This window comes from Homo sapiens, chromosome 3 (assembly GCF_000001405.40).
Source record: "Homo sapiens chromosome 3, GRCh38.p14 Primary Assembly".
In the NCBI taxonomy this organism is placed as follows: Eukaryota; Metazoa; Chordata; class Mammalia; order Primates; family Hominidae; genus Homo; species Homo sapiens.
This window is the reverse complement of record NC_000003.12, coordinates 51066835-51089961: the sequence shown is the minus strand read 5'-3', so window position 1 is coordinate 51089961 and position 23127 is coordinate 51066835. Positions and strand designations below refer to the sequence as shown.

The 23127-nt window shown below is 37.5% G+C and overlaps 1 protein-coding gene across 22 annotated transcripts in view; it reads right to left on the bottom strand.

Moving 5' to 3' along the window:
* DOCK3 (dedicator of cytokinesis 3) overlaps positions 1 to 23127 on the bottom strand; it is a 709272-nt gene that overhangs the window by 294237 nt on the left and 391908 nt on the right. For all 22 annotated transcript variants that reach the window (XM_005264914.4, NM_004947.5, XM_006713010.4 and 19 more), the window contains exons 7-8: positions 14522 to 14606; positions 678 to 719 (exon numbers count right to left, since the gene is read on the bottom strand). In XM_005264914.4, the coding sequence (XP_005264971.1) occupies positions 678 to 719; positions 14522 to 14606 (127 nt within the window). The remainder of the gene's footprint in view (positions 1 to 677; positions 720 to 14521; positions 14607 to 23127) is intronic.

Here is a 23127-nt window from a genome sequence, read left to right as displayed (position 1 = left end):
ACAAATATCTTAGTTCTCCAGGAAACCATTTTCTTTTTCCTTTTTTTTTTTTTTTTTTTTTTTGAGACAGAGTCTCACTCTGTCACCCAGACTGGAGTGCAGTAGCATGATCTCGGCTCACTGCACTCTACTCCCGGGTTCAAGCAATTCTCCTCCCTCAGCCTCCTGAGTAGCTGGGATTACAGGCACCCACCATCATGCCCAGCTAATTTTTTTATTTTTAGTAGGTTTCACCATGTTGACCAGGCTGGTCTCAAACTCCTGACTTCAGGTGATCCACCTGCCTTGGCCTCCCAATGTGCTGGGATTACAGGCATGAGCCACCACGCCCAGCCCGGAAAACCATTTTCAAACTCATTTTAAAGAAATGCCATTATGACCCCAATGCGCTTGATTTACACTGTTACCTCGTAATAGTTACCATTCTAAATAACATTTTTATTTTCTCCCAGACTGATTCATTTTAGTTTCAGTCTGCTTTAATTGTGCTTATGCAAATCTGCACAGTAGAAGTAGAGTCTGGCCAAAACTGTTTAGAGGTCAAAGCTCCTCAGATAAAGACACCACACAGTCAAGAAGTCAGTGGTGTCTGTCATTTCCTGGTGTATTCATATGTTGTAATCTCTTAACAGAAAAAGTTGAGGGGAAAGGCTGGAAGACCCAGGAAAGCCGCTTACCTGGGATGTGCTTTGCTGTACACTCTGCCGGCTAGATAAATGCTATGGAAAGAAGGAAAGAAAAATAAACTCTACCGGGAAAGAAACTAAATTTTATTAAGAACTTTCTATATGCTGGGCAGTCTGCTATGCCTTTTATATTCATGATCTCATTTAATTCTGATAACTTTGTAAAATAAGTGTTATTCGTATTTGGTGGAGACAACTAAGGCTTAGAGTATGGACGTAATTTGCTGAAGGTCACATAGCAAGAAAGTGGCAAAATCCAGATTCAAACCTGAGCCCTTCCAGATCTGACTAACAGACAAGTCACAAGTCGGTGCCTGGTACTAAATTTTTGCTTTGCCACTGTCCTCTCCATATACTGTACCACTTTCTGAGCTGCCTGATCCAGCTTCTTCAGACTTTCCACAATGATGCCTTTAACAATAAAGGGCTCCCTCCCAAACACTTCCCCATGCTGTTCCTTTACTGCTGGCTGGCTGAAATGAGAAGAAGCAGATTCTAATTCAAGCTTTGCCACTCAAAGACTGTGAAATTTCAGACAAATCACTTAATCTCTCCAGGAGACATTTTCCTGAACATAAAATTCAGATAAGAGCCTGTATTATCTTCCTTACAAAGTTATTGTGAAGCTCAAATTACATGAGCATCACTATGATATAGAAGTTAGGGACCTAAGTGCAGAAGTGAGAATCCTAGGTTTTCAATTTTTTAAAAATGTTTAAATTGATACATAATATTTTAAAATATTTATGAAGTACATGTGATATTTTGATACATGCATACAATGTATAATTATCAAATCAGGGTATTTAGAATATTCATTGCCTCAAACATTTATCATTTCTTTCTGTTGGGAACATTTCAAATCTTCTCTTCTAGCTACTTTGAAATGTAGAATAAATTACTGTTAACTACACTCACCCCACTGTGCTATCAAACACGAGAACTTATTCCTTCTAACTAGATGTTTGTATTTGCTGAGCAACCTCTCTTCAACCCCACCACCCCACGATTCTCAACCTTTGGTAACCACTTTTTTATTCCCTATCTCCAAGAGATGCACATTTTTTTGTTTTTGTTTTTGTTTTTTAGCCCCTACATATGATAGAACATGAGATATTTGTCTTTCTGTGCCCGGCTTATTTCATTTAACATATTGACCTCTAGTTCCATCCATGCTGCTACAAATGACAGTATTTCATTCTTTTTATGGCAGAATAGTATTCCATTGTGCATATATGCCACATTTTCTTCATCCTTTCATCTGTTAACAAACACTTAGATTAATTCTATATCTTGGCTATTGTGAACAGTGCTGCAATAAACACAAGGGTGCTGGTGTCTCATTTATATACTGATTTTTCTTTCTTTTTGATAAATATCCAGTAGTAGGACTGCTGGATCAAATGGTGGTTCTGTTTTGTTTTTTGGGAAGTCTCATACTGTTTTCCATAGTGGCTGTACTAATTTACATTCCCACCAACAGTGTATAAGAGTTCTAAGTATATCAGTATATCAGTTCTAAGAGATTTTTAGTAGTCTTTAGGTTTTTCTATATATAAGATTATATCATCTACAAAGAGGAACAATTTGACTTCTACCTTTCCAATTTAAATGCCTTTTATTTCTTTCTCTTGCTTGATTGCTCTGGCTAGGACTTCAAGTACTATGTTGAATAGGAGAATTAAAAGTGGGTATCTTTGTCTTGTTCCAGTCTTAGAGGAAAGTATTTCAGCTTTTCCTCATTCAGTATGATGTCAGCTGTGGATGTGTCATATACAGCTTTTATGCTGAGGTATTTTCCTTCCATGTCTAACTTGTTGAGAGTTTTTAACAGGAAAAGATGTTAAATTTTATCAAATGCTTTTTCTGTGACTATTGAGATGATCATATTGTTTTTGTCCTTCATTCTGTCAATGTGATGTATCACACTGATTGATTTGCACATGTTGAACCACGCTTGCATCACTGGGATAAATTCCATTTGATTATGGTTTATAATCTTTTTGACATGTTGTTGGATTCAATTTGCTAGTATTTTGCTGAGGATTTTTGTGTCTGTATTTATTGTGTTCATCAAGGATACTGGCCCATCTTTTTTTTCTTGTGTCCTTGTCTGACTTACTATCAGTGTAATGTGTAACGCTGGTCTCATAGAATGAGTTAGGATGAATTCTCTCTGCCTCAATTTTTTGGAACAGTTTGAAAAGAGCTTGTGTTAGTTCTTCCTTATAAGTTTGGTAGAATTCAGCAGTAGAGCCATACAGTTCTGGGGTTTTCTTTGCTGAATGACTTTTTATTACTGATTTGATCTCTTTTCTTGTTACTGGTCTATTCAAGCATTTCATTTCTTCATGATTCAATCTTGGTAGATTGTGTGTGTCCAGGAATTAATCCATTTCCTCTAGGTTTTCCAATATGTTTGCATATAATTGTTCATAGTAGTCTCTAATGATTCCTTGTTTTGTTTTGTTTTGTTTTTGGGATGAGTCTCACTCTGTCGCCCAGGCTGGAGTGCAGTGGCAGAATCTTGGCTCACTGCAACCTCCACCTCCTGGGTTCAGGTGATTCTCCTGCCTCAGCCTCCTGAGTAGCTGGGATTACAGATATGTGCCACCATGATCAGCTAATTTTTGTATTTTTAGTAGACATGGGGTTTTGCCATGTTGGCCAGTCTGGTCTTGAACTCCTGACCTCAGGTGATCCACCTGCCTTGGCCTCCCAAAGTGCTGGGACTCCAGGAGTGAGCCACCATGCTGGCTGATCCTGTGTACTTCTGTGGCATCAGCCACAATGTATCCTTTTTTGTTTCTGACTTTATTTTGGACTGCTGGGAACACCCTAAAATCTGGCCATAAACTGGCCCCAAAACTGGCCATAAACAAAATCTGTGCAGCACTGCGACATGTTCATGATGGCCATGATGCCCACACTGGAAGGTTGTGGGTTTACTAGAATGAGGGCAAGGAACACCTGGCCCATCCAGGGTGGAAAACCACTTAAAGGCGTTCTTATATCACAAACAATAGCATGAGCGATCTGTGCCTTAAGGACATGCTCCTGCTGCAGATAACTAGCCAAACCCATCCCTTTATTTTGGCCCATCCCTTTGTTTCCCATAAGGAATACTTTTAGTTAATCTATAATCTATAGAAACAATGCTTATCACTGGCTTGCTGTTAAGAAATACATGGGTAAATCTCTGTTTGAGGCTCTCAGCTCTGAAGGCTGTGAGACTCCTGATTTCCCACTCCACACCTCTATATTTCTGTGTGTGTGTCTTTAATTCCTCTAGTGTCACTGGGTTAGGGTATCCCTGACTGAACCGGTCTCAGCATGGACCTTCTTTTTTCTCGATTAGTCTAGTGGTTTATCGATTTTATCTTTTCAGAAAACCAACTTTTTGTTTCGCTGATCCTTTGTATTGTTTTTTTCAGCTCTATTTTGTTTAGTTCTGCTCTGATCTTTATTACTTATTTCTACTAACTTTAGGTTTAGTTTGTTTTTCCTTTTTTGGGGTCCTTAAGGCACACCATTAGGTTGTTTATTTGAAATCTTTCCAATTTTTATGTAGGTATTTATTACTGTAAACTTCCCTCTTAGTACTGCTTTTGCCATATCTCACAGAATTTGGATATGTTGTGTTTCCATTTTCACTTGTTTCAAGCAAGTTTTTAATTTCCTTTTTAATTTGTTCATTCACTCATTGCTTATTCAGGAGCATGCTGTTTAATTTCCATGTGTTTATACAGTTTACAAAGTTCCTCTTTTTATTGATTTCTAGTTTTATTTCCCTGTGGTCTGAGAAGATACTTGACATGATTTTGATTTTTCAAAATTTGTTGAGACTTGTTTGTGGCCTAATATGTGCTGTATCCTGGAGTATGTTCCATGTGCTGATGAGAAAAATATGTGCTCTATACTGTTGAATGAAATATTTTGTAATGTCTGTTAAGTACATTTGTTCTATAGAACAGAGTAAGCCTGATGTTTGTTGACTTTCTGTCTGGATAATCTGTCCAGTGCTGAAAGTGTAATGCTGAAGTCCCCAACTATTAATGCATTGGGGTCTGTTGAACTCTTTTGCTCTGATAGTATTTGCTTATATATCTGGGTGCTGTGGTATTGGATGCACATATATTTACAACTGTTATATCCTCTTGCTGAATTGATCCCTTTATCATTACATAATGACCTTATCTATTTTTATGTTTTTTGATGTAAAGTCCATTTTCTCTGATATAAGTATAGCTATTATTGCATGCTTTAGGTTTCTATTTGCATGGAATTTTTTTTCCATCCCTTCACTTTCAGTCTATGTGTGTCGTTATAGGTAAACTGAGTTTTTTGTAGAGAACATATAGTTGGGTCTTGATTTTTAAAATCAATTCAGGCAGTCTATATTTTTTAATTGGAGAATTTAAACAGTTCATATTCAAGGTTGTTAGTAACAGGTAAGGACTCACTCCTGTTGTTTTGTTAATTATTTTGTGATTGTTTAATACATTCTTCATTTCTTTCTTCCTTGTTTCTTGTTTGCCTTTAAGATTTGGTGGTTTTTTTATGATGGTAATGTTTAACTCCTTTCTCATTTGTATATGTATGCTACCAGTAAGCTTTATACTTTTGTGTGTTTTCATGATGGTAGACATTGTCCTTTCGCTTCCAGATACAGAAATCCCTGAAACATTTCTTGTAGGACTGGTCCAGTGGTGATGAATTCCCTCAGTTTTTGCTTGTCTAGAAAGATTTTATGTAACCTCCATTTAAGGATAGCTTTGTTGGGTATAGTATTCTTGGCTGACAATTCCCCTCATGCCCCCACCAATCCCTCACCCCAGAACTTTGAATCTGTCATCCCATTCTCTCCTGGTCTAGAAGGTTTCTGCTGAGAAATGTGCTATTAGTCTGGTGGAGATTCCCTTATATGTGACATGATGCTTTTAACTGTTTTTAGAATTATTTGTCTTTGATTTTTAATAGTTTGATTATATATATATACCTTTAAAATCTTATTAGATTACATCTATTTGGGGATATTTGAGCTTTCTGTATTTGGATGTCTTTATCTCTTGCAAGACTTGTGAAGTTTTCAGCTATTATCTCATTAGCAGGTTTTCTATATCTTTGCCCATGCCTTCTCCTTGTGAAACTGCCAAAATTTGAATATTTATTTGCTTCTGGTACCCTGTATGTCACATAAGCTTTCTTTACTCTTTTTTCTTTTCATCTGATTGATGTCAAAAAACCTGTCTTCAGATTCAGAAACTCTTTTATTTATTTATTTATTTATTTGAGATGGAGTCTCGCTCTGTCGCCCAGGCTGGAGTACAGTGGTGTGATCTTGGCTCACTGCAACCTTCGCCTCCTGGGTTCAAGTGATTCTCCTGCCTCAGTCTCCCAAGTAGCTGGGCCTACAGGTGCACATCACCATGCCTGGTTAATTTTTTCTATTTTTAGTAGAGACAAGGTTTCACCATGTTGGTCAGGCTGGTCTCGAACTCTTGGCCTCAGGTGATCCACCTGCCTTGGCCTCCTAAAGTGCTGGGATTATAGTCATGAGCCACTGCGCTTGGCCAGAAAGTCTTTCTTTTGCTTGATTTCATCTATTGTTGAAGCTCTTGACTGTATTTTTTCTTTCATTCACTAAAGCTTCAGTTCCAGGATTTCTGTTTGGTTCCTTTCTATGATGCATATCTCTTTGTTAAACTTCAACTCATGAATTGCTTTTCTGATTTTTTATTGTTTATCTGTGTTCTCTTGTATCTCACTGAGCTTCTTTAATCTTATTTTGAATTATTTTTCAGGGATTTCATTCATTTTCTTTTCTATGGGATCTGTTACTAGAGAATTATTGTCTTTGTTTGGAAGTGTCATGTATCTTTGCTTTTTTATGTTTCTTGTGTCCTTACATTGATATGTGGGCATCCAGTGTAACAGCTGCTTGTTCTAATTTTATAGATTGGTTTACATAGGGAAAGACTTTTTCCTATAGATGTATATTTAGTGTTAGGTAGGGTGCTTTGGATTTGATTCTAGGTGAGTGCAGTAGCAGACTCTCCATATGATTTCTTCAGCTATAATCAGTGTCAGTGGTGTCTGTGAGTTCTGCAGTGACTTAGACTGTGGTTGTTAGTAGATGCTGTGGTGAGGCTTAGCTAGGAACAAGAAGATCAGATGGGCTGGTCCTTAGGTCCCCAGGTGGTATATGTGGGACCCCATGGTGGAAGGTCAGTCCTTGGGCCTCCAGGCAGCATGCTTGGGTGCTAGTGATAATGATCAAGTGGGTACTCAGGCCCCGTGGTGGTACACATGGCACTGGCAATGGCAGTAGCAGTGGTGTGCCACCTCTCAGGTCCCTTAGTACACAGGCAACAGCTAGGGCAGTTTCACCAGGCTGATCACCCTGGATGGCACATGGGGACAACAGCTGTGGGCCTACCCACAGACCTATCCTATAGGTCTGTCCTCTGGCCCCCAGGTGGTAAACACAGGTGCTGGTGGCAGGAGGAATGCTAGTCAATACCCAGGTCCTGGAAGGTATGTGTGGGTACTGGTGGTGACAGGTGAGTTCCTTGGACTATGCACTTATGTGCCCATGGCAGTGTATGGGGCAGATTGGTCCTCAGGTCCCGGGACAATGCACACAGGTGAACCAGTCCCCCAGGCCTCTTGAATGTGTTGAATGTGTGCAGGTATGCAGTGGCTCTGCCACTGGAGGGAGCAGGGTTGCTATCAGTGGCAGTAGCCCCAGACATGCAGCTCTCAGGTTCTAGGGAGCACAAGTTTTAGCTTTCTTTGTCATGGGGGCAGTCTCCTAGGTGCACTGCACCACCCATTCCCCAGGGTATAAGTCACTGTGTGGGCTAAAGCGCTGGAGACCCAGGAACAATGCTGGGTCCAGTATGTATTGTGATGCTGCAGCCCTCTGAATGGACATAGGGGGATGTCAGCAGGGCTCCAGGGGTGTGGAGATTCGGGTGTGTTGGACCCAAGGGTAGAAAAACGCAGTCTGGTGGGAGCTAGGCTCTCAAAATGACACTGTGCTGTGGTGTCTCTGTGGTACCTCTGTGGAATCTCAGAGGTAGTGTGAGGCCCGGCCCAAACTCTCTCTCTGGAACAATGCCTTTTCTCCACAATGGGGAGTTCCTTCTAGCTCCAAGCTTATCCTGGGTGGGCTGGCTGCTTTGCTTCCCTCTCCTTCCATGACTCTGAAGTTTCTTGTCACTTCCCTGATGAACTCCAGTATTCTGTCTTAGATGCTCTATTCAATATGTAGTTAATTACTCACTGAGTAGAAGGCAAGTGCCAGGTGCCTCTACTCAGCCATCTTGATACCACCCCCTGCAACCCTCCAGTTTCGAATTTTTTTTTTTTTTTTTTGAGACAGAGTCTTGCTCTGTCGCCCAGGCTAGATTCCAGTGGCGCGATCTAGGCTCACTGCAAGCTCCACCACCCAGGTTCACGCCATTCTCCTGCCTCAGCCTCCCGAGTAGCTGGGACTACAGGTGCCCGCCACCACGCCCAGCTAATTTTTTTGTATTTTTAGTACAGATGGGGTTTCACCGTGTTAGCCAGGATGGTCTCAATCTCCTGACCTCGTGATCTGTCTGCCTTGGCCTCCCAAAGTGCTGGGATTACAGGCGTGAGCCACCATGACCGGCCTAGTTTTGAATCTTGACTCACACTTATATCTGTGTATTCATCATCTGAAAAGTGACTATAAAATTTTATGCCTAACTCAACCTCACAGAGTTTGAGCAGACTGACTCAGCATATTACCTATCATACTGTAAGTGGCTGATAATTATTATTCAAAATTGGTATTTTTATTATTAGTATAATTGTTATTTTTTATAATTAGTTATTATAGAAAGTCATTCACATTTAGAAGTAAACCCTGGCCAGGAATAATGGTGAATTTACAAATGTTCAGTGCGTGGTGTTGGTAAACGAAACAATGAGAGATTTCATCCTGCTTCCTTTTGGACCCTAGAGGTATGGTACCACACTCATTTGTTGAATTGCTCCATATCACATGGGTAAGAAGAATGGTTGTGGCAGTGGAAGTTTCCATTTCTTTTCCAAACACATATATTTAACCCTATATAAAAGAGAAGTACAATTAAATATTAATTTAAATGTGTCTGACCAGCTATATTTGCTTATTACTAAATATCCATGTGCATATTAGCAATATTAACTAATCATTATTGAGTATTAATGTTCATTCATGGAAATATATGTCCCCATGATATATATGAAATATAAAAATCAAGTCTCCACCAGCTGGGCAAAACATCATATAGAATGTATATGCACAAAAGAAAAATTCACATATAAAACAGGTTTCAAAAAAGTAAAAAAAAAAAAAAATTCAAGCATTCAAAAACAAATCAGGTTTTCTGTGGTTTACTGACCATATCTCACTGGAAGGTTACTAGACTAAAATAAATTCCGTTGTTTTATTTTATATCCAGGAGCTACACTAAGCCATTTTTCTCAAGTAGATTTACTGTTAACCAATTAAAAGGACTACTAATCTTGGTAGTCATAAATTTTCAATTAGAACTATATACAGAAGGATTTTATGAAGCAGCTAATTTCAGTATGAAACATCCCTGTTGACAATAATAAGTAATTTTTTTATTTCAGTCATTAAATTTTGAGAGAATGATTTAGTCTGAAAGCATACCACATGGGCAGCCAGAGAAAGGCATCAGAACTGGCATTCTGGAACCTCTTTCAGGGCACTCTTGTCAACCAGACTTCAGCTGGTCAGCCAATACCTCCCTTTTCAGTGTAATCATCACCTCTATTAGGGTTGTAATGCATTGTTTCCATGTTTGCTACGTAACTCTAGACTTTGCACTTCCAGGGAGCAAAACACTGTCTTATTTATCTTTATACTACAAGTGCCTAGCAATGTATGTCAAAAATATAAATTAATTAAGAAATGCATGGAACACATTACTGCCTCTGCCAGTTTTTCTCCAGTAGAGAAATCATTTTCAGCCCTGTAAAGTCTCTTGTTCATTTGGTCTACAAAAGTCTAGCAATATGGAAAGAAACTATGCAGCTTTGGATATGTTAACCAACTGAATAACAAAATTAATTGCCTGCTATATAGGTTGGGGATTGTGTTAAATATTGTGAGTCTTACAAGGAAATATAAGGCATATCTAGTCAGAATCTATGAAAGGATGAAGCATATACAATTACTGATTTTTAGTAAATAATCTAATTGACTGATTTATACCAGAAATGAATGTATAAACATTGAGCTATTAAAAATATTAATTGACACAAGAAGACAACAGGCAAACACAAATCCCAATACATGATAATGTGGATGGATAATAATGAAGCAGGGGGCTATAATGCAAGCATTCTGTTAGATCTTGCCACAGTTTAGAAACTCTCATATTATGTAATTTTTGAGTGTCACATTTCACAAAGATGCATGGCTAAGATTAACACAAATAGTTTGTGGTGTCTTTTGAAATACTTTATATTTTCGCAGCACCAATTCTCTATTGTTTAAAATGGATTTAGAGTTGTTATGATGCAGAATTGAAGAGCACTAAGGACTTCCTCTGGTTTTCATCATAAAGAATGCAAAATCCTGCTAAGTATGGTGGTTCAGGCCTGTAATCCCAGCATTTTGGGAGGCCAAGGTGGGAGGATCGCTTGAGCCCAGGAGTTGAAGACTAGCCTGGGCAACATGGCGAAATCTCATCTCTACCGAAAAAATAAAAATAATAATAATAAAATAAAAATTAGCTGAGTGTGGTGGCATGCACCTATACTCCCAGCTACTTAGGAGGTTAAGGTGGGAAGATTGCTGGAGCCCAGGAGGTGGTGGTTGCAGTGAGCCCAGATCACACCACTGCACTCCAGCCATGGCAACAAAGACAGACTCTGTCTCAAAACAAACAAACAAAATAAAACAAACAAATAAAAAGAATGCAAAATCCAACTGTGTATTTAAAGAGACTTTTATCAATCATTATCATTCAACATTTGCATGGAGGCTTCATTTTTTATTTAAAAAATGCTATGAGTGCAAACTTTAAGTATAATCTTATTCATACAGGATTTTTTCCCTAAAATCAATGACAAGAAGTATTATAATCAGAAAGTTTCATATAAAGTCTTCATAATTTCCAGTAATAGATTTACATGTTAACACAAAATCTAAAAGGATATTCTTTTGAATCTTGAACTTTTAAGATTTAACCAAAACATTTACTGTGCAATTTAACATATAAATCCTAAGTGGTTTTTAATAAATGTGTGGACTCTTATAATTGTTTTTTATCATATCTAATTGTATGAAAAAGCAAATACATGAGATAAAAAGACAGGAAATTTAGCAGAAAATGAAATAAAGAGGGCTTTCATTGTGTCAGAATCCCTTTCCTGGATAACACACAGTAGACCTTTTGATTTACTCCTTCATTTTAGAAGGAATAACTTACTCTTCAGTAGTTTCCTGAAAAGGAGTTAAAGAGCATTGTTATTATTGTTGTTTTGAGACTCTGAGTGACCAAAATTTTCTTTAGGCTACTCTCCCACTTGATTTATAATGTGGCTGAGTAAATATAGAATTCTGGGTTGAATGTTATATTCCCTCAGAATTTTGAAGGTAATGCTCTTATTTCTAATTTTTAATGCTGCTATTAGGAAGCCAAATGTTTTTCCTACAACAAATCCTTTGTATGTGATCCATTTTGTTCTTTGGAAGTTTTAAGCTCATCTCCATCTCTAGTGAGCTGAAATTTCATAATTACATTGGGCCCTTTAAATCTGGAGACTCATATCCATGTTCTGAGAAAGTTTTTAATATGATTCCTTCAGTAATTTTCTTTCTTTGTTTCTTTATTCTCTCTTCTGAATACTGGGCTTCCTGAATTGAACCTCTAAACTTTTAAACGTTTTCTCTCCTACTGTTACTTTATTTTGTTGCTGTTCTGTTTTCAGGGAGATTTTTCTCTATTTTCTAACCTTTATTCCAAGTGTATTCCAGTAATCTGCTTTTTAATTTTGTAAAGCTCTTTGGATTGTTGTACTCTGTTTCCTAATTGTTTCCTAATTTCTCTCTGCAGACAGCAATCACCATTTTCTTCTGCTGGGCTGTCTCTTTCTTCCAAGTTCCTTCCGTATGTTGTTCATTTTGGTCTCTCTCTCTGTTTCTTTCTCTCTCTCTGTCTCTCTCTTTTTTCAAGATTCAGATTTGTTGTATGGATATTGCAAAATTGTGAGGTCCGGGCTTCTAAGTGTACCCATCGCCCAAATAGTGAACATTATGTGAGAGCTTTGTCTATTGATGCTTGGTTGTCTGGAAGTGCTGTATGGCCACTGGGTTTCACTGTATGAAGGTCTGGGCAAGGAGGTGGTTATCTAATTCAGTCCTAGAGCCTTATATACCATATGTAATATGATGCCTCTAAAACTGTTTTATCTGAACTTCATTTATGAGCTCTAGACTTTCAGCATCTCTGGTGGGATGTCTAAAAGGAATCCCAAACGTGAAAAGAAAATCACAGCTATAGATCCTTACTGCTTCACTCTCCAAACTGCTTCTTCCACAAGGTTTCCCATTTCACTTTTATATAATTAGGCAGGTCAAAAACACAGGTATAATTCTTTTCTGACCTTTCTCTTTCTTGTATACACACATGGCAATTTAATCTATCTACAAACACACATGGCAATTTAATCTATCTACAACTATGGTTCTAACTTCAAAATATATTCAGAATCCAACAACTTCTTACTAGTTTCACTCTTCCAGCTCTAGCTCAAGCTACTGAAATTAAGTTCTCCTGCTTGAATGACTCTTCTCTACTTCTATTCTTGCCCCACTCCAATCCTTTTCCACACAGCAAGCAAAGGCATCTTTTAAAAATGTAAAGCTGATCATGTGATTCTCCTGCTCAATTTACCTTCACAAGCTTACTGTCACACTAAGAATAAAATCCAAAATCTTTACCAAGAAAACAGCATCCTCCAAGCCAGTATTCCAAGGGGAATTCTTAGTTTCAAACTCTCATTCTCTCTTCACTTTCCATATCTAATTGATCATCAAAATTTATCAATTTTAATTCCAAACATCTACATTCTTATTGTATTTCTTGTCCATTGCTGTCTAGCCATTTTTCTTACCTGAATCACTACTCTGGGTCTCTTTCCTCCCTCATTCCAGTCTTTTGCATTTTATATTCTCTCTAGACAGAGTCAATGTTTGAAACCAGTATCTGCTTATGTCACTCTCATGCTTCTTTCAGACTACTCGATAGACTCTAATTTGAGAAATACAAAGCTCTTCATGGTCTGACTTTTGCCTCCTTCTTGGCCTCACTCCCACTCACTAACATGAGTTAGTGGTACTCTATGCCGAAGTTATGAAATGTCTTATAGTTTCCTGGAACTGCCACTTCCATATGCTGTGTGCCTTTTTGGAATGTCTTTCCTTCTCTTTTCCTACTCCCAGGAAACCAGTCACTACCTCTAAGAGCATCATTGTATACTTAAATTATGCTACACAGCACATATATGCAGCACACGTATGGCAACTGTTTGACTGTGGTCTATTGATTCCACTAGAGTAGAGTTTCTAACATAGGGTCCATGCATGGGCTTCAGAGCAAGCATCAGGAGAAACTATCCATCAATTCTCTAAAACTGATTATAAAACTTTGTATGCAAAGCATACTTGCATTGTCCTGGGAGAAAATTTCACCTGATCTTCTATGACCCAAAAGGGATTAGGAACCAATACCCTAGATAGTGAGATTCTTTAGGGAATAGATAAGTCTTGTTCATACTTTTTATTTTTTAAATAGATGGGTCTCACTATGTTGTCCAAGCTGCTCTCAAAATCCTGAGCTCAAGCGATCCTATCACTTCAGCCTTCCAAGTAGCTGGCTGTACCTACAGGTGCATGCCACCACATCCAGCTATCTTTAATCTCTATATCTCACACTTATCAACCTATTGTACTGCATACAGCATAGTTAAAGCAACTGAACACAATTGCTTGGGTATGCTAGTAAGTACACACAAACAAATGTGCAGAAGCAATTGATATGTTATTTGCATATTACTTAGGCAAATTTCCTTAGGTCCTTGTCCAGGCAACATACTTGGTACCCTCTAAGCTCCCTAAAAATATTACAGTTTATTAAACAGACTCTAAAACTTATAAATCTCACCAATATATACTCATCAAATACATACTCTTCAAGATGAGTTTTTATCCAGTCTGTTAGTCTAAGCATAACTGTCACCACCTAAGGTTTCTTCTATTTATTTTACTTTAAAATATTGTACCCTTCATTTATTTACTTTGCATCTAGACTATAAATGTAATCTTGATTAGTCGACCCAACATATTTTTGTAATAACCAACAGATAGCTAAGAATCTATCAGGCTCTGTCTCTCTAGAAAGACTAGTACATTATTTCCAGGCTCAATTTCTATATTACCTAATAATTGGCTCTTTCCAGCTTTAACTACTTTCTCTTTTAAAGAGGTGAGAGGAAAGAGACATAACTTTAGTTATGCTGCAGGCTGAAGGAGCTCTGGTTCACCAAGAAAGTCAACAAAGAAGTAATGCCTAGATAATTTGGTAAGCCCAGTATCTGTAGTTTACTACAATGGAATCCTATTTGGAAAGCTAGTGTGACAGATATGGCCAGAATATCACTTAAATACACTGGGAAAGAGGCCAAAACAAATTTTTAGCAATGTTGTTTCATAACATTAGAGAAAATAAACAAAAGAGAAAAAATGAGGTATGCAGGAACAAGCTACCTCATGTTAGATTTCTTACCATCTTATAGAGATCTGAGACACTAATCTGGTCCGAGTCCACTACTTCAAAGTCCTTCCGAGGCACCAGGTCCAGGCCCAAATGTCTAGTAAAGAGAAAGACCACACTCAGTATGCCATGTACTCAGATTACTTATCTCTCTTTATGTGCCTGGGAACCCATACCTGCCACATCTTGTGGACAGAGGATCAGACACTGTCCTAGCAGGAACATGTCTTTATACAGCAACAACTAATTCTGTTCACTTCTGGGTAAATGAGGCTAGGGATTTAAGTTGACACAATTCCAGTTCAGGCAGTTCCACTCATGATGGTAAAAAGGTTTCATTCAGTATTACATTATATCAGCATGCTTGAGTTCATTAAGGATAGGTTTTCTTTACATCATTAAAAAGTCATGTTTATTTTTCTATTTCTCCCCATCTGACAGCTATGCTCAAGGTTTAGTTATGCATTAGTTTCATTAGGATGAAAAAAATCTTCAGGGTGTAATTCAAAGTCAAACACATAAAATTCACCTCTTAAAAGTTACTAAATGCAAAGAGATGTATCTTTTTCTCTTTATTCATTTATTTAATTTTTTATTTTTAAGTTCTGGGGTACATGTGCAGGATGTGCAGGTTTGTTACGCAGGATGTGCAGGTTTGTTACACAGGTGAACGTGTGCCATGGTGGTTTGCTGCACCTCACAACCCACCACCTAGAAATTAAGCCCAGAATGTATTAGCTATTTTTCCTAATTCTCTCCCTCCCCTCACCACACCCCCAGATAGGCCCCAATTTGTGTTGTTCCCTTCCCCATGTCCATGTGTTCAAAGAGATGTATAATTTGGCTGAGTTTCATCTCATTTTCAATTTAACTAATACTGATACTGGTAAAGACCTAGATATGTATTAGCACCAATATTTTAAGAAACATTAGATAAAAGTTTAACCAACAAGTATTACTACTCAAGACAACAGTATTTGGAGGATCTTTGGGGCAGTAAGAAGAAGTGATGGTAATGGCAGTATTAGGCAGTGGAAATAACTCTGGACACAGTCAGCACTTGGGTTCAAAATGGTATGTAATTTATGGTCAATAAACGTTAGCTCTTTTCTTGCACTCTAAGACAACAGCTCTAAACCAGGAATTCAATGGAGTTTATAGGGTTGTAGACCTCTGAAACTGCTTATGACACGGATGAGTTTGTGTGTGTGTTCATTATAAATTTTTTCTGAGGAGAGGGTCTGTAACTCTCATCAGAATTTTGGAGATGCTCTGTGACCACCCTATCCAAAACAAGGGTTATGAATTCTTGTGTCTGGCAAAAGCATTCCATGGGATTATAGAGAAGAAAGATTCTTTTTTCTCTTCAATTAGACTATGAACTATTTTAGAACATGCTAGCACAGCTAAATCTATAAGCTCTGTGCATAAAACTCATCATTGAAAATAAAATCAGGTGCACATCCAAAATTCAGATTCATTTACAATTTATACCCTGTTTATAGGAAAATATCTGATAAAATTACATTGCAGTAAGATTGATAAAATAAAAATGGAAAATCAAACCTATATGGAGAAAGTATTATAGAAGCAAATGTACTAACAGCATAGGCTAAAATGGTTACTAGGATTAAGAATTAAAATTTATATGTATACTTTCTAGCAGGCAAGAAAAAAAGAAAAAACATTTTCCTATTAAAGGTTAAAAACTTATGTTTTTCAATTAGTGTTTTTTTCTATTATCCACTAATTAAAAAAATGAGTTTTTAAAGAGAAAAAATTTTTGAACCAAATGCTAAAAATAACCCACAGTTTTACATAATGAGAAGATCAGTAATAAACTGTTGGCCTTATCCATGATGGTTTACAATTTAATGATAAAACTATGCCAATTGAAGTTAATGCATTTAAATCTATGAAACTGTATTTTTCTACAATTGGGATCCCGACTTCTTATATCAAAGAAACACTCCATTCCATCACCTCTTATTAGCTATTCTTCACTTATCTGAAACAATTTCAGGCCTCCGGCTTCTAACACTTAGAGCATGCAAAGGCAGTAGTGTTCACGGAGTGCAAGAGCGAGGTGCAGTACATCCTTTCTAACCCCTTCTTATAAAAAGCAACTGACATAAAGATAATTTTGCAGATATAATTTCAAATATTTAAAATACTTTTATAGAGATATGGAAAAACAATGGAAAGATCACAAGAATGATATTAGCATTTGTATCAGAAAACTGAAATAGTAATATGTAAAACACTTTCCAAATTTTCTGTAGTCACATTAAACTTTTTAAAATAATAAAAAATGAAGAGACAACATTTCATACATATTCTTTAATCATTTGAGATCTATAAATATATGTGAACTAGCCTACAATTAGGAAACAACAACAACAAAAAAGAATGAGTAAATAATATAATCAAAATAGGTGTTTTTATGGCTAGGTGCGGTAGCTCATGCCTATAATCCCAGACTTTTAGGAAGTCAGGGAGCGAGGACTGCTTGAGATCAGGAATTTGAGACCAGCCTGGGCAACTCAGTGAGACCCCATCTCTAAAAAAAAAAAAAAAAAATTAGCCAGGTTGTGATGGCATGTGACTGCAGTCCCAGCTACTCAGGAGGCTGAGGCAGGAGGATCACTTGAGCCAGGAGTTTGAGGCTGTAGTGCATTATTATTGTGTCACTTCACTCGGGCTTCAGGGACAGAGAGAGACCCTGTCTCAAACAAAAATGTTTTCAGCTGAGCGCCATGGCTCAGGCCTATAATTCCAGCACTTTGGGAGGCTGAGGTGGGTGGATCACCTGAGGTCAGAGTTCAAGACTGACCTGGTCATCATGGTTAAACCCCATCTCTACTAAAAACACAAAAATTAGCTGGGTGTGGTGGTGGGTGTCCGTAATCCCTGCTACTTGGGAGGCTGAGGCATGAGAATCACTTGAAACCAGGAGGCGGTGGTTGCAGTGAGCTAAAAATCATGCCACCACACTCCCGTCTGGATGACAGAGCAAGACCCCATCTCAAAAAAAAAAATTGTATTAGAAACAACAGTTTAAGAAATATCCAGATGACATTTAAGTCATTAGGTCTGGAATTGAGTGTATGTGCTCCTCTGTGGTAGTGCACCACACAGTGATGGCCATGTGTGGAGACTGGCATTATAAGAACTCTATCTTAGTTAGCATCATGGCAAGCTCAGCTTGCTTGTACAGTCAGCCGCCCTCCCATATAAATATTTATCCACCCCACAGAACTTTGAGGAACTATCATGTATCCTACCAATGGTGTTAGACATAAAGAATACAGTAGCTTTGAGTCATGCAAGTGTTCATATTCTTCATGTTAATCCTCTCTTGAGAGCAGAGTGTTTTCCCTCTCCTAGAAGTAACCAGAGCACAGTATCTTTTAGTTTTGTAATTTCATTATCTTGAGAAATAAGAGAATAATTAATGGGTGATCTGGTAAAAACCAAAAAGAGTTCCTCCTACTAAGACTATCTTTAATGGATAAAGGGTAGTTTGCAAAAGTTATATTAGTGACTGTCCTCATTTGAAAAAGGCAGAGATGTTGGACAGTGAGAACCAATACATGTTCACTACAAACTTCACTCTCAAAAAGAGGCTCCTGGCTATTTTTTCCTATGGTTTACTCGAAGAATAGTGAACATCGAATGCAGGGAATGGTCAACATGATCTCTATCTTCACAGCAAAAGATGCATTGCATTACAGTATTAAGGAGCATGGGTTCTGATGTCAGATCGGCTGGTCTGTATCTTGGGTATACCACCAAACCACACTGTCTAAAATCTACTATCGTAAGCTGTTGTAAGGATTAATCCACATAAAGGACCCAGCACAGTACCTGGCATTGTAAATTGCTACTGTTATTTTAATTATTATCCCCATGTTACATTGCTAGCCAAAATGTTAGCTTAGAGTTATAGGGATTGTGATCAAAGAAGTATGGTGTCTGGATAAAAAACTCTTTAAACAGATGAACACAAGCAGGGGGCAAACATCTATGTATATCTACATACAGATGTAGCACAGAGCTAAGTTTTCACAAATGGTCCTACCAATTGTTTAGGTAAACAGTCTTCACAAAAATACTTGGTCTTCTCTCACCCATCATTGATCATTCATTCATTCACTCCAATAATTCAACAAATATATATTAGAACCTATTCTGTGCTAAGCTCATGTTCAACCTAGGGACACAGCAGCTAATAAGGGACATAATCCTGACCCAATATTCTTTCAGATGGAGCTCTCTGAGACCCTGAATCTCTATTTCTTTTAAATGCTCTATACTCTCTATTCTATGTTCTATTTTATCTTTTTCCTTTCCCCATCTGAACCACAGAATATAGAAAATAATCTGAAGTTAATTAATTATATACAATGGATACTTTAAGGCAGTGGTCCCCAATCTTTTTTGCACCAGGGACTGGTTTCATGGAAGACAATTTTTCCACGGATCGGGGGGAGGGTGCAGGGGTTAGGACAGTTTCAGGATGAAACTGTTCCACCTCAGATCATCACGCATTAGATTCTCATAAGGAGTGCACAACCTAGATCTCTCGCATTACAGTTCACTATAACAGGGTTCACACTGATTTGAGAGGAGGTGGAGCTCAGGTAGTAATACTGGCTCACCGGCAGCTCACCTCCTGATGTGCAGCCCAGTTTCTAACAGGGGTCCGCAGCCCAGGGGATGGGGACCCAGTATCAGCTGAGAAAAGATGGAGATGTTAAGATTTCTTGTGGAGCAGTGCCCTTTTCTAATGCTTATAGTAAAAACAGCATACAGATAAGAACTATACTAATGAAAACACAGCATATTTACATTTATATAACATATAAAAATATATAATTAGTAATTACTACCTTTTACCAAACATTTACTTGGGCTAGGCACTTTATGTACATCATCTCTAAGCACTTTGGGAAGTAGACAGTATTAGATCCATTTTTTAACCAAGGAAGCTGAGGCCCACTGAGGTTAACTAAGTGGCCTGTTAAAGGAGTTGAGCTGGGCTTGTCTCAAGCTAGGTTGTTCTCATTCTGAACCTATGGTATTTCCATTATACCTGTCTTTTTAAAAATAACTGTGAAAGTTATAATAAGTAATAATGGCTACAAGTAGTTGTAAAATCAATTTAGTCATAACTGTTTGAAAGATGATTCTGTGTCAAACATCAAACCAGAAGGAAACAAATATCAATTGATTAATGAGTGTCCACCAGGCATGAAAACAAATCCACTTTATTACTCAAATACGTTCACATAGTGCCTACCAAGTGCTGAGTGCAGGTTATAATGATAAGCAAAAAATGCCAAAAGAGTGTCTGTGTAACAGTGTGTGTTAGTCAGTCGATTGAACATAAACTTGACAGGACTTTGACCATACATACTTTAAACATAGCCAAGACATCCCAGACTGTGAACAGGGCAAGACACTGATCAGTGAGCACACCACCAGGTACGGGAAGAACCGTTAACTGTGAAATCATTGAAAACTTCTGCTAATTTCAGGTGTCCTAACGCTGGAAAATATCAGTGAGTCCTTAAGGGTAAAGTACTAAGCCATAAACCTTTCTAGATCCTGGCTAAAAATCTACTTAAGAGGAAACTCACTGGGGGATATTTTCTGCATATAACAAACTAAACTACTGCTTGTGTATCTTACTCCAAATCAATTCCCTTGATGAGAGACATAAACTAAGTGGGAAGAAAGAGATATAGATGGGTTAGAATATGTAAAAATATGAGAAAGTAGAAAAGGGGAGGAGGAAGAAAAAATGACAGACGGAGAGAAAGAAAGAATAAAAGAACCAGAAATTTATATATATATATACACACACACACACATATACACACATATATATACACACATATATACACACATATATACACACACATATGTATGATTTGTTAAATTATTATTCTAAGAATAAAATATTTCTTAGGTATTTTTCCAAGGCAGAGATCAATTAGGCTATGTCAGTTCTCGGTTAATGCAATTTTAACCTAGCTAGCTACTGTAGTGATGAAATTAGAGACAGAAGAAACTTAGCATCTTTAGAGAAGATGTTGAAAATATTAAGTTAAATTAAAATTACATCACTAGAGAAATTATTTTAAAATTTGGAGTAGATATAATTAACTGACTAATTCTCTATGTAAGACACTTGAGCAAAGATGATGACTAGTTAATTTGAACACAACTTTCTGCCCTTCTTGTATTGCAGTTCCTAAAAATATAAAGAGCACAATGTAGAAAGTGCGGTTTCTATCTGATACAATTTAATAATTTTTACTTATGGAGTATCTACATATAGGCCAATAAGTTTAAGTCACATAAGTTTAATGTCTGAATATTCAAATTTTAGGCCAATAATTTTAAGTCACATAAGTTTAATGTCTGAATATTCAAATTTTAGGCCAAATAAATAATTCCTAATCTCAGGAAACAAAATAAAAAATTGTTATCTAGATGTGGAGAGCTCCTGACTAAATTAAAACTCTAAATGAAAGATTACAGGACCAGTTCAGTTCCTATCCTTGGAAGTTCTAACTGAATATTACTCAGATATACATCACAGGATGTAATAGTATTCACACTTGCAGAACAGAACAAAGATCAAATAGCTTAATGACTAAAAATACTGGCAATAATGTGCCTGGTTTTAAGACTCACACATAATTAGATAGATGATAAGGTTCTGCATAAAGCACATGGGCTTTGGGATCAGTTCTAGGTACAAATACCAGCTCTACCCTTCCACCATACAACGCTGGGAAAAGTGCCTTTGAGCCTAGGTTTCCTCAATGGGTAAACAGAGCTCTTGTCCTAGAAAGGCATAGCAGCATTTCTTCTTCTTCTTTTTTTTTTTTTTTTTTTTTTTCAGACGGAGTCTCGCTCTGTCGCCCAGGCTGGAGTGCAGTGGCGCAACCTCGGCTCACTGCAAGCTCCGCCTCCTGGGTTCACACCATTCTCCTGCCTCACCCTCCCGAGTAGCTGGGACTACAGGCGCCCGCCACCACGCCCGGCTAATTTTTTGTATTTTTAGTAGAGACAGGGTTTCACCGTGTTAGCCAGGATGGTCTCGATCTCTTGACCTCGTGATCTGCCCGCCTCGGCCTCCCAAAGTGCTGGGATTACAGGCGTGAGCCACCGCGCCCGGCCAAGGCATAGTAGCATTTCGTTACAACAGTGCATGAAGTGAGACCATGTACTTGCCATAGTGATGTAGACATATTTAATCAATACACTACTAATAACAATTACTAGTTTCTGAAATAGATTCTGAAAAGGCAGAGCTATAATGTCTGTGTAAGAGCTTAGAGAAAAGGCATAAGAGTTTAAAATCATATATTTAATTACATCAATTAAAACATTAAAATACATTTGGAAAACACTGATTCACATGCTAACATGTGCTAAACTTCAAGATTTTATGGCATTTATAAAAGTGTGGTGGAACAAGAAGTGTGGAACTATCAGAATAAAATGGGAACAATGGTTATAGTCATCTGTTCTCAGCTTTTGTGTGGAACAGTCTGTTTTACATAATCTAATGGTATGAAATGACTTTGTTTTTACAATATACCATCTTTTCTTTCAAAATAGGAAGAAAAGTTTTAAAAGAGTAAGCTCAAGGAGAAATCAGAAAGAACAGTCCTATCAGTTTTGGTGCAACATGTCTTTTCCTTTCAATAATGACAGACCTGCAAAGTTCTTGTTTAGGTTTTTAAGTGACTATATTTTCCACTGAAGGAAAGGAGAAAATAAGAAAAAAAGGAAGAGAGGGGTGGGGGAAAGAAGTGCAAGGGGAGGAAGAAAGGAGAAGAAAAGAAGACGGAAAGTAGGGAAGGGAGAAAAGGAGAAATAGGAAAGAGGGAGAAGGGAAGTGGGGAGGGGAATGGAACTGTGTTTTTCATTTTTGCTTATTAAGATATGCATATACATACCCCTCCAACGCGCGCGCACACACACACACACACACACACACACACAAACATATTTCATTGAGAAAAAGTCATGAAATTGGAATAGCCCTGTAATTTACTGGCAGGTATTTATAATGTTCTGAGCCTTTTTCAAGTACAATTTGAACTTGTTTCTAAGCTATCATCTATTTATTTTCAGATTTGATTGCAAAATCAGATTGGTTTGTTTTTCAAGTTTCATAATAAAGAGGTATAGGTACTGATAGTTCTGAAATAGTTCTATTTAATGGAATCTATAGTTGCAGTTAAACTGCAACATAATGAATTACACATTTATTAGTGTCATCAGTTCAACTGTGACCAATTTGCTTGGCACACAGTAATGTTATATTTGCAATTACTGTATTCTTATCATTGACTTAAAAATAAAAAGTGACATAATTTCATAACATAAAAATGTTTGGGTTTGAAGAGGCAGAATTAGTAGCTATGCTGTACATCAACATACTGTATTTTACTAAATTGTTATTCCCCAAAGTTAGATTTAGGGAACACTGATCTATGGTACACCTAAATTCATGTTATACACTATTATAGAAGGTAGTCTGTGGTAGGTGCCAAGCAATCCTACTAACAGTCATGATAGGGTGTAATTAAACA